The sequence below is a fragment of the Homo sapiens genome, chromosome 4 (assembly GCF_000001405.40).
Source record: "Homo sapiens chromosome 4, GRCh38.p14 Primary Assembly".
NCBI classification, from domain to species: domain Eukaryota; kingdom Metazoa; phylum Chordata; class Mammalia; order Primates; family Hominidae; genus Homo; species Homo sapiens.
This window is the reverse complement of record NC_000004.12, coordinates 148856501-148869502: the sequence shown is the minus strand read 5'-3', so window position 1 is coordinate 148869502 and position 13002 is coordinate 148856501. Positions and strand designations below refer to the sequence as shown.

The following is a 13002-nucleotide window of genomic DNA, read 5'->3' as shown; positions in this document are numbered from 1 at the left end:
TCCCCTGACATATATCTCAAGGATCTGAACTCAGTCAAGCCGTGATGGGAATCCTCCATCCGAGGACCCTGATCTACTTTTCTATATTTGCTTCCACTGTTCTCCAAAAAGCCCAGCTCTTCAGATTCTAAAGACCTCTTCCATATCCCTACCTCCAAACTTATTCTCACATACTGTATGCTCATTCTCCCTCTCCTCACCTCTGCCTTTCCAAACTATTCTCTTGAGTCCTATTGAATTATATTTCTCCCATGAAGCCTCCATGGCTGCTATAAAAATAAATAGGTAGGCAGAAGGAACTCTAAATCCTCTGTCTTATCTGAGGTAAATTCGTAGTAGACAGGGACCATTCCTAATTTACATCTTTAAGCAATGTCAAGAATGCCCACAACCATGCTTGTATTGAACACTCAATTTAAACCAAGGTATTTTAAGAACTTTATCCCTGTTATGGATTGAATTATGTTCCTAAAGTTTAACTGTTGAAATCCTAACCATCCATAATTGAGAATGTGACCTTATTTGAAAATAGAGTTGTTGCAGAGGTAATAAGTGAATAGAGTGGGCCCCTAATCCAATAAAACTGGTGTCCTTATAACAAGCAAAAATTTGGACACAGACACATGCACAGGGAGGATGCCATGTGAACTGGAGATACAGACCAAGATGATGGAACAGGAGCCAGATGCCAGAGATTCTAGCAATCCCCCAAAGCTTAGAAAGGTGAATAGAACAGACTGATTTCTCCCTCACAGGCCACAAGCCTCAGAAGAAACAACTCCACCAACACCTTGATCTTGGAATTCTCACTTCCAGAACTAGGAGACAATACATTTATTGCCATCCAGTTTGTGGTGCTTTGTTATGACAGCCCTAGGAAATGAATACAGTCCTTTCAGACAGAAATAGATCAAGGACAAAGTCAATGTGATTCTTTAGGTTCCTGTGAAACTCTGGCTTTGACCACGAGGAAACTGCAGAAATCTGCAGTGGTCTCTTATTAGATCATAAGTCCCGCTGTGAAGGAATGTGGTCCATGGCAGGCCAGGAAATGTTGGAGCGTGCTATGTGGTCAGAGCTAAGTCTGCGTTTATTGTGATTTTAGAAAAGCATGAGTAGTGAGAGTGTGGCTAGGACTTGGCCCTGTGTCTTTCAGGTGATGCAACTGAAACAGCAAGGAAGCAGAGGGCGGGTCTCCTTCGGGCTCACCATGGAAACCGTGGCCATGGCCCTCATGGCGGGAGACCTGGGTGTGGGCTTTCTTTGATCTCCTCTTCCCCAAGGCACAAACTCTGCAGGATTAAATCCACATTGGCTGCTGCATAGGTGGAACAAGGTTTGGTGGTGGTAAACCCGGAATGGGCTCACTGCCCAAGCGTCATCGGTATAATCACGCCTCTGAAATTGTTCCCGTCCTTAGTTTATACTTTTAAAAATTTCCAGAGTCTCACAGTATAGAGTTAGAAGAGGATAATGGCTGCTCTGGACTGTGAAAAAAAGCAATAAACAACCCCACAGTGGAAATATGTGAAGGCTTATTTGTCACGAAATCTTAAGACTGGCATGAAGCCTAGCAGAGCCTACGATCCAGTCCCCAACCATGAAGCCTTTTTCTTAGAGATAAGAAGCTACCTTAGGCCGGGCGCGGTGGATCACGCCTGTAATCCCAGCACTTTGGGAGGCCGAGGCAGGCAGATCACGAGGTCGGGAGATGGAGATCATCCTGGCTAACACGGTGAAACCCCATCTCTACTAAAAATCCAAAAAATTAGCCGGGCTTGGTGGCGGGCGCCTGTAGTCCCAGCTACTCTGGAGGCTGAGGCAGGAGAATGGCGTGAACCCGGGAGGCGGAGCTTGCGGTGAGCCGAGATGGCGCCACTGCACTCCAGCCTGGGCGAAAGAGGGAGACTCCGACTCAAAAAAAAAGAAGCTACCTTAGAAAGAAAGGTGAGACTTTGCTATCTATATTTTCCAGCATCTGCTACTTGGAATTCCAAGGGAGAGAGGAAAGAGGTAAAGACTGAGGAAATCCATTGATTACATTAAAACTCACATCCATATTTACTCTACATGTTACAAAGAAGTTGTTTTATCTGTTATTTTATTTTACCCTCTCAGAAACCCTATAAGCCAGGTATTATTATCCTCCTTGTACAAATTAGAAAACATGTATTCATTTTTTTCTAAAAATGAAACTCAAGAGAACTGGCTTAAGTTCATACATCTAGCAATGACCTGCTGAAACCTCACATTCAGAACTTCTGGCTGCAAATCTTACAATATTTCCACCAAGACATGCTGGAGTAAAGGGGGAAGGGAAAACAGAAAAGAAAGGGAAGGGAAAGACGGATGTGTGGGAAGGGACTTCTTCACCTCAGAGGAGCAGAATTAAAGACCCCAGAGGAAGAAGCAGGGCTCCATCCCAGCACCTCTTGGTCTGGCCTGGCCCTCTGGGCCCTAAAGGCTGCCTTCCTGCTGCACATGGAATCTCAACTCTTTTCATGGCTATAGTATTTTTATGGCCCAACTCCTCTCCAGGCTTTCTAATCACAATCCCATTAGTATTTCCTCCCAGGCTTCCCTCTCCAGCCTCTTGGCATCTTTGGGTCTTATCACTTTACCTTCCACGGGTTGTCTTTACTCCCCCTCACTTGTAGAAGCCAGAACTGGATAAAATCTTCCAATTCAGTTTTGACCTTCTCTGCATCCAGTGTATCTCACACTCTCTATTTCACAATAAACGAGTCTGTCAAAAGATTAGGACATGATTTAATTCAATGTACATCGGTTTTAAAATAAACTACATTTCAAGTAACAAGACTCTTAGGACCAGTGTTTTATTTAGTTGGCTATTGTTTTGGCTGTTTTTCCTTTTACTAATACTGCCTGATCATTAGATAATGAATGAGGAAAATAAATTCTATTGCTTCTAAACAATACTATACATACTTATTTCCTGGAGTGCCTCACATGTACAGATACCATTTTGCAGTTCAGGCAACAATGAATTCTAGTAAAAGTTGAGTTAAAACTTTCCATCAAATGATAATGGAAAGAAAAGTGACTGTCTGTTTCTATTTCTGGTTTCCTTCATTCATCACCACTTAACCCAAAGAGCTAAATTAACCAAAGAGCAGGTAACCCTGCCTCACTCTCTGTGTGCTGAGACCTTCACCTTCAGCATCCCTGCTAATCCCTGCAACCTAAGGAAGTGGATATCGTAACTTCCATTGTAGAGAACAAAAACATTAATGCAGCAAGTGAATGGTGAGACTTTTTCTAGGTTTGTTTAACTCTACAGTTTTTGGCCACTATGTTATACCACCAGAATACTTGCAGTATTCTCTACAACCACCAGAGATAGAGATGTTATCATAAGGAAAGGAGGGAAGTATGTTTTACAGACTGCTGGAATAAATAATGCCAACTTTACAAATGATAGTAGAAAAGAACAGGAATGGTAATATTTTTCTCAGAATATGGATGGCAAAACAGATGGATATTTTGGTGTTTAATCATTTTACCAGATTAGTGCCTTGATCATCTTATTTTTGCCATTACTTTCTGAACCAGGGCGGCTGGGGTCATGTGTATGTCTCAATTAACCATAGCATAGTACAGTCTGGCCAGCTATGTTAATTAACTCCAATTGCTAAATGATGGATCAGTTCAGTCACTAAACAATCCAATTAATAGATGAGAGTATGTAGCAGACAGAATGTGCCATGGCTAATTTCATCCCTGCCTGTTGATTTTTTAGTAATTGATCTGCTAACCCACTTGGTCATTAGATGCCTGGAATACTGTGTGGTGTTCCAGCTATTTCACTAACACAATTATGGCCTTCAAGTGCCTCTCCCTCAGAAAGAACCAGCCCTGGAAAGCAAATACAAAATGCATATTTGATTTTTTTAATGGACACATATTCTAATACTTGGATTTTCTATCTGAAATAAATTTATTGGTTTTCTTTCATATCTAAATATGAAATGAATGTAACAATAAAATAATTTGCTTCTAAAAGTGGTTACTTTACACACTAGAGTGCTCTGAATTGTTACACTGATAACTAACAAGTACTACTGGTTATTGTTAACTAATAGCTTATAGGGTCTAATAGCTTATATGTTATTTCCATATAAAATGTCCTAGTCCATGCTATTTTATTTTTGTTTTAGATATTGACAGTCTCCGTTGCCATTGTTACATATTAGAGCTTCTGCTCGGAAAAAATAGTTTAGTCAATAAACAAAAAGAGTGACTAGTCACATGACTAATAAAACTATATGGTTTTAATGAAAAGACCACTAGTCTACCTTTAGGAAAACTAGATTGTAATCCCAACTACATCATAGATCCACTGAGCTCAGAGAATATTGAGTAACAGGGAATGGGATTTTAGAGGCCATTTAGTCCAAACCCTCAAAGACGAGCATCTGGCAATATTAAATAAATTGCCATATCTCCAGATTCTTATCCCTATATCCCTCTACCTTTACTGCCAATGAATCTAAGAAGAAAAAGTTAAAAAATAGAAAGTAAACATTAAAACTAACTAGACTATGTGATATATCTCGTGTTGATTATTATGAATGAATCTATAAAGTACAGAATGATTATTAAGATTATATGGCTAATGGTAGCCCTCAAATTTTGAAATATGAATGCAAACCCATTTTGTAAAGCTTACTTGAGTGAGACTAGTTATAATAAATTACTAAATTTCTAACCGTACACCTTTATTACATATTCCACAGATGTTTTGGTCATAATAAAGCTTTTTAGTATTAATAATGATTAATTAGTAGTAGTAGTAATTAGTAATTGTAGTGGAAATGGGTAGAGAGTATAATGTACAAATTCATAGGTTTATATCCTTCTTCAACTGTCTATTCATTCATTTCCTTACATATTCAACAATTGATAGATGGCTCATGGACACTGAGATACAAAAGTGAATAAAGCCTGGGCACGGTGGCTCACACCTGTAATCCTAGCACTTTGGGAGCCCGAGGTGTGCAGATCACTTGAGGTTAGGAGTTTGAGACAAGCCTGGTCAACATCGTGAAACCCCATCTCTACTAAAAATACAAAATTAGCTGGGCGTGGTGGTGTACACCTGTAATCCTAGCTACTCAAGAGGCTGAAGGATGAGCGTCATTTGAACCTGGGATGCGGAGGTTGCAGTGAGCCAAGATCGCACCACTGCACTCCAGCCTGGGCGACAGAGTGAGACTCCGTCTCAAAAAAAAAAATATATATATATATATATATACATATACATATTTTATAAAGGTGGGGTCTCACTGTGTTCCCAGGCTGGTCTCAAACTCCTGGCATCAAGTGATCCTCCCATCTAAGTTTCCCAATCACTAGGATTACAAGCATGAGCCACCGTGCCCAGCCCCAGATGATATCTTATTGATCCTTACAATGAACTGGGAACTCTTCCAAGCACTTTATGTCTATCAAGGTATTTAATCTTCACAACAACACTTTGAGGCAGGTCCTATTATTATCCCCATTTTATATATGAAGTAACCAAGACTCAAAGTCATAGAGTTATGGAGTGGTAGAACTAGAATTTGAACTCAAACAGACACACGCAGGGTTGTGACAAAGAAAAGGGAGTGTGGTTGCACAAAAAGATAGGATGAGATAATGGTTGTACAAAAAGATAGGATGAGATAAGTTTATAGATATTAGCAAATCGTAAAGACATTGCATGACATATTAACAACTGTGAATTGATCCAAAAGATTAAATTCACAACGCTCCCCAGTGTATCAAAAGTATGACTCAAGCACATATATTCTCACTTCTATCCCTTTGCTCATATTATCCTCCCAAAAATATGCTCCTCATACTCCTCTTCTTTAGTTCTTTTCCATCCTTTAAAACCTACCTCCTCTATGGTACCTCCTGTCCAAACCCCCGCTATCCAACTCTTCCAGCAAATAGCCCATATCACATATCACATAATTCTATAATTCTGTCTCATATTGTATACTAATTTTTCACATGTGTTTATCAAATTATTCCATATAGACCATACACTCTTAAAGGCTGGAAATCATGTCCTATTTCCCTCTATGTTCCCACAGCATCGAGTTTGGTTAGTGGGCATCTAGAAGTTACTCAATGAATAAAAACTGTTAAGCTGATAAACTGTAGGAACAGTGGAATCTGTTTTTATTACTGTTCTTCAAAGTAGAAATTTCCCAACGTCTCTTTTTTTTTTTTTTTTTTTTTTTTTTGAGATGGAGTCTCGCTCTGTGGCCCAGGCGGGAGTGCAGTGGCGCAATCTCGGCTCACTGCAAGCTCCGCCTCCAGGGTTCACGCCATTCTCCTGCCTCAGCCTCCCGAGTAGCTGGGACTACAGGCGCCCACCATCACGCCCGGCTAATTTTTTTTGTATTTTTAGTAGAGACGGGGTTTCACCGTGTTAGCCAGGATGGTCTCGATCTCCTGACCTCGTGATCCGCCCGCCTCGGCCTCCCAAAGTGCTGGGATTACAAGCGTGAGCCACCGCGCCCGGCCTAAATTTCCCAACGTCTCTATCCAGTCTTTCTTGGTACTTGTTACATAATCAAGAGATTTAAATCTCAACAATAGATAATTATAACTTGCTTGGCAAATGCCCAAACTGCTGCCCAGATTAATGGATGAAGAAAGATAAAATAAGAATAAGTAACAACACATATTAGCTGTCTCTGATTTTCTAATTCTACTTCATAACTTGTATTATTTTCAAGATAATTGTTATATTTTAAGATCATAAGGTCTCTTTAGTGTTTATGTTACTCTCCTACACCTTCTAATTCACCAATCTCTAGCCCTACTATTCAGACAGGATTTAATTTTGAAATTAGCCTTTACAATTGAGAGACTATTTTGAAAGACCTCCCACATAGGAAATTCCATGTCCTTCCATAGTAATTCATCCTTCTTAGCCAGTTCTTCCCTATATTTAATCTAAATCCCACACACTGCAGTTTGGGCCCATTTCTTTTTCTTTTGACCCTTGCTGTGTAAATGGAGATTAGTTGCTTATCATCAATAATTAAATAACCCAGGCCTCTCTTGCTTAGCTGAATAATCAGTTTTTTTTAACCTATACTCATAGATCTTTTTTTTATTATTATTTTTACTTTCACTCCTAAATTTTTTTCTAAGTCCTCTAAATACTTTTGTGTAAAATCCAAAGCTTTAAAATGGAGCCCAGGGCATTTCTGGCTAGCCATAGACATAACTGGAAAATGGCCTCATGGTTCTTGATTTCTGCACTTCTATTCCTGCCTCCCAGTGTGATGCTTCCCATCTCTTACAGGGCTACCTTCTGGATTCATTGCTTGATAATCACTGCTAAAATATTCACCAGCTAATTTAAGGAAGATTACAGAGTAAGGATTCCCTTTAAGTAAGTATTGTCCTGTCCCAAGTACTTGATACTTTTAACTGAGAATCTCTGGGAATCTCATACAATTTGTCTACGTTTGTAAGAAATCTATTTTAATAATGCTAATCATATGCTCTAAGATCTATGCCATCATTTGCAGCAAACTTAACCAGTATACTTCTTTTTTTTTTTTCCTGAATTATTGACCAATGTGTCTACACCACTCCTCCTCCAAGTTGACCTATATTTTCATTATCACACTCCACATTTGGTCCCCTAACCAGCGAGCCTCCACAGGATGGCTGTAATCTGATTCCTTAATATGTAGAATATAACTTAAAATGTGTTAAAATTGAAATAAAGTGCACCAAGTCTTCCCGACCTACTTTTCATGGTCATAATGAGTGAGTTTGACAAGGTTTTTTTCCTTGAGTACTCAGTAATCTGTCCAAGTTTAAAAAGCAAAACAAAATTGTAATTCAGGTTGCTCTTTTTTTACTTTGAAGATGCATGCTCATTCATTACTATCTTTCTCCTTCCACTAAGTATAATATTGTTACCAATTTCCAGAAATATTTTCCTGTATTCTTTTCCCCCACCCTCAAATTATTTCCCAAGACCTGATCTTGGATTTTTTTTGTTAATCCTAAACACTTCACCAATTCTCCGTATTTCTTTTAAAATCTGCCTTGGATGTTGTATTTTTAATGACAGCAAAACAATCCACCAAATCCATCAAACTGGACAATTCAGTAAGAAAAAAAATTAAACTACATATTTATTACATTTTATTGGCTTATATTGTCAAAATCACTTGAGTTGGTAGCTTTAAATATAACCTTCTTGATAGTCCAGATTATTTCCATTTCAAATGTAGTTCTGTGTTCAGGAACTTCTATTTTTTTTTCTGCCTTTTGTTGTTTTATGTTATTTTCTAAAAGTGTGCTTAGTTCTTTTGGGCCCCCTTTCTCCCTAAGCTGTTTTAGTATAGAAGTTTTTTAAACTAGTTCACCTAAGATCATTAAAACCTGATATGAAAACATATTAACTTTATTTAACTGATAGAAAAGCATCTGTCAAGTGTGACAATCACCAGACATTAGTAGTTGAATCAAGAGGATAAGAGTTAAGATTCCTCAGTCTCAAATGCAACTGGAAATGCTAGGTTAAAGCACTAGGGTCCGGGCATAGTGGGCTCACACCTCTAATCCCAGCACTTTGGGAGGCCGAGGTGGGTGGGTTGCTTGAGCTCAGGAATTTGAAACCAGCCCGTGAAACATGGCAAAACCCTATCTCTACCAAAAATAAACACACACACACACAATAGCCAGGCATGGTGGCCCACACCTGTAATCCCAGCTATTTGGGAGGCTGAGGTGGAAGGATAGCTTGAGGTCTGGAGGTGGAGGTTGCAATGAGCCGAGATCACACCACTTACTCCAGCCTGGGCGACAGAGCCAGACGCTCTCTCTCCCCAAAAAAAAGATAAAATATTAGAAGGTGTTTCCCTAACGTTGTCTCTGATCTTCTTTTAACCTGTTTCTCTCATTAATCTTATTAATTTCTTTAATGCTTTCTCTATGTATTTATTTTGAGTGCCTTTAGCTACATATTAGCCACTCATCGATGATTCCTTCAAATCTGCCCTTCTCCTGGTGTTTCCATTTCTCTTGATCCCCATTTTCCTACTTACCCAGGCTAGAACTTTGTGAACAGAGATGTGGTTTTCCTCTTCCTTCACTAAACAGTCTTCAATTTTGCCTTCATTTCTATCACCATCACTCTTCATTAAGGCTTCATTAACTCTGACTTAAACCATTCACTGGTAATGTAACATGCATCTTAATTTATTTAATTCCCCTCCAACTCATCCCAGTCACTATCTACTACTGGACTAGTATTTCCAATAACAAGCTGTAGAGAGAAGTGAATGCAGATGAGTGAACAGTCACTTTCTAAGAGATGACAAGGGAAGTTAAAATAAAGGAAATTGCTTCTCTTGATAAAATACCACCTCCCAGTTGAAAATATATATAATGCCTTCTAAAGCTTAATTTATAAAGTTCAAAATTCTTACCTTAGGTAAAATACTCAATACCTCTTTATTCTGGCTCCAATTCCCCACAATTCTCCTTTGATGCACCAGTGTAACGAACATTTCATTAATTCTCAAGCATACCCTGTACTTCCATGCCTTCATGGCAGTACATATGCCATTTGCTCTCTTCTGAAAGCCAGCTCTTCTCCAGTTTCTACTCATCATTTAAAGCTAAGCTCTTATGTGATGTTTTCACTAATGTGTTCACATATGAGGTACTCATGTCCTCTAACTCAGGAGTCTCCAAACTGGCATACACACCCCCCAGAAGAAGAGCAAATGATCTATTGGAGTGTGGGAAGAAAATATTTGGACATCTTTTTATAGAACATCTTTTTAAGTTATATTTCTTATTAAAAATAAGAAGTAAATATTGATACATAATGTTCATACATATTTATGGGGTACGTGAGATATTTTGTTACATGTATAGAATGTATATTGATCAAGTCAGAGTATTTGGCATATCCATCACCTCAAGTATTTATCCCTTCTATGTGTTGGAAATATTTTAAGATCTCTCTTCTAGCCATTTTGAAATACACAATACATTTCTATAGTCACCCTACTCTGCTGTTGAACATAAGGACTTATTCCTTATATCTAGCTATATGCTTGTATCCATTAACCCATTGCTGATTTTTATATACAGATTGACACTAAGACCCTCACTGGGCCTATGCATCAGACATAGATGCTATGGAAAGTAGCCTTCAAAAGTTTGGAGTTACACACTGGGGAAGTGTTTGCTATGGCATCTATCCATCATCATTCATTTTCAACATCTTGTGACATATTGCAGATTATGTAGATATTTGGATAGTCTTATCTAGTTTTGGATTAAACTAACTCTTACAACATACTTAACATTTTTCTTACAAAGAAACTGCAAATTAAAATTACAGTAATAATGTAAGCATCCACAAATAATAATTAAACAGATATGATATTCCCCATCCTCCCAATATAACCTTTAAATCAGCCATTATAGGTGCAAAAACAATGACTATTGAATCAGACTGACATAAAAACCACAATGCTATCACTAAAAAATTATTAATAGCATATTCGACAGACCAGGAAAAGTTTTGTATGGTTCAATAAAACTAAAATCATTTAAACACTACAGCCTATTTCATCTTTACATTATATGTTAATCTCTATGCACACAATTATAATGTATGCAACATATTAGTACAGAGTACATATACATAATTTATATAAAATATATATTGTTGGTAGGTGTGCAAAAATTTTAATGGGCTGCACAATCAAAAAGTGTGGGGAACACTCTTCTCACCTAACACAGCACAGTTCATGCCTCTTTTGTGGAATTCATTACTTTATTTCTTTTATTTGATCACTTATATACAGACATTATTTGCTTCCCTATCTCTTCTAAATTATAATCTTTTAGAGGAAAGGGCACTGTCTTATCTTATTCACATACAGTTGTCCACTGCGCCTGATATATTCACTGAGCACTTTAGTGATTGTTCAATGTTTGGTAGAAGAATGAATGGAGACATAGATGGATAAATGGAAGAGTGAATATGTAGTGATTTAAAGTGCTATCTAAACTTATTCCTAGTTGGATGGCCAAGAAAGAACATTTAAGATAGCACTCCTAAGGCAAGAGGGGTTAAAGAGCAGCTTGGGTGGGGCTACAAAAATCAACATAGGACTCTGGATTTCCCTGAGAAGAATGTCACGTTTCAGGAAGTTGAAAGAAGGTAGAGTCCAAATTAGTAGTGGCAACAGTTTCTCTCACTGAAGAGAACAAGGGCTCCTGACACATTCTCCTTTACCCAAAAGAAAAATGTTTGATTTTGGTCAAGTTTCCTCTTGACCCCTATTGTCTAAACCTGCTCTATAACCCAGGGTTTCATCTGTTACCTACAATGTACTGACTCATCATAAAATGCGTTTGTACTGCTTCGTTTAGACAAGTACCACAGCCCTGTTCATAGTAAAATAGTTCATCGCAGCAGCCACATAAAAAAAATAATGCAGGACAACCACTGATGATAAAACATTTTAATCACAAAAGTCCTTCATGAGGCCAACACTGTAATTACCAAGGGTTTAGTGCTTCCTGCACTTAAGGAGACACAACCAGGCAATAATAGATGATAATGCCCCATGACACCAATAAACCTAAAAGGAAGAGTAGGACTGAGTCTAAAGGAAGGAGGTTGCTAAAGAGAAAAAGTGTCTGAATCTGATAAGAAAAGTGCAACACGTACTGCATTCAAAGAAAGGGATGTGGTGACAGGATGAATTATTGTGGGGAAAGAAAATCCAACAAAAGGAGAGAAAGAGAAAGGAAATGTACATTCCCGGTGTTGTACAAGTGCTATTTTGGGGAATAGATGCTTTACTGTATTTCAGAACACTGCAGAGTTTCAAACCCCTTAGTTACTTTGTTTCTGACAAGTCTCAGCTAAACACAGCACTCATGAAATCCAGATACCACAACTAGAGCCAGGTTCAGTTATGAAGTAGCCTCTAGTTGCTCTGGCAGGAGATGACTAGAAGATCACAGGGTCAAGTTAGCCAAAGGAGAGGCCTTGCCCACCCACACATTCCTCATCAGCACAGCACCTCACAGCTTGCTCAGGATTACATAAGCACTGAAACAACAAAGTCTGAGGGAGTCCGTGGAGGGAAAATACTCTCCCCTCGCACATGCCAAGTTGAGCTGCAATTGAAGTATGACACCTCCACCATGATGTTAAGAATTGGCTGGTTGCATGGTTAGGGAGCAGGAGGGGAATTTGTAATAGATCAGAAACTCACAGAGGATGAAGACTTGTTACAACTTCACTGAAGCCCAGCTAGAAGCCTAAAACTAGCCTCTCTCACGTAGTTATGAGGTCCTTGTGTGCCTTCAAACCAATCCAATGCTAGAGCCCTTTCTATGAAGGATACTAAGGTCAGAGAGAATCACATAGTGAGGGAAGCTGTAAAGCCCCATGCTACTTACAAAAGAAATGTGTTAAAATGAAGTCAAAGCCAGATTTAATGTCCAAACACTTTGCCAAAATGTTTTGTAATTTCTCATAAAGGTAGACACCCACCCACCCATGCCACACTAATCCCATTCTTGAGCATCTATCCAAGAGATAGAAAACATACGTCCACACAAAGACTTGGACAAGAATGTTTATAGCAGCTTTATTCATATTAGCAAAAAAACTGGAAACATACCAAATGTCCATCAACAGAATAAACAAATTGTGGAATGCATACATATAATGAGATAATTTCTAACCAAAATTTAAAAAAAACTCTTAATTTGATACACATAGCACATATGAATCTCACAGACAGTATGCTGAGCAAAAGAAGCTCAACTCTGAATACATACTGTATTATCTATGGTATGAAGCCCCAGAACAGGCAAAACTACAGTGAAAAAAAGTAGAACTGTGGTTACTCGAGGAAAGGAAGGGAAAATGGATTAAAAAGGGAAATTATTCTGAGATGATGGAAATAGTCAATA

At 38.5% G+C, this 13002-nt stretch overlaps 1 long non-coding RNA gene across 1 annotated transcript in view; it reads right to left on the bottom strand.

The window, feature by feature from the left end:
* The window catches only part of LOC107986195 (uncharacterized), a 496338-nt gene that overhangs the window by 163356 nt on the left and 319980 nt on the right, over nt 1-13002 (bottom strand). The window contains exon 3 of the long non-coding RNA XR_001741441.2: nt 2622-2746. This is a non-coding gene — a long non-coding RNA (uncharacterized LOC107986195). The remainder of the gene's footprint in view (nt 1-2621; nt 2747-13002) is intronic.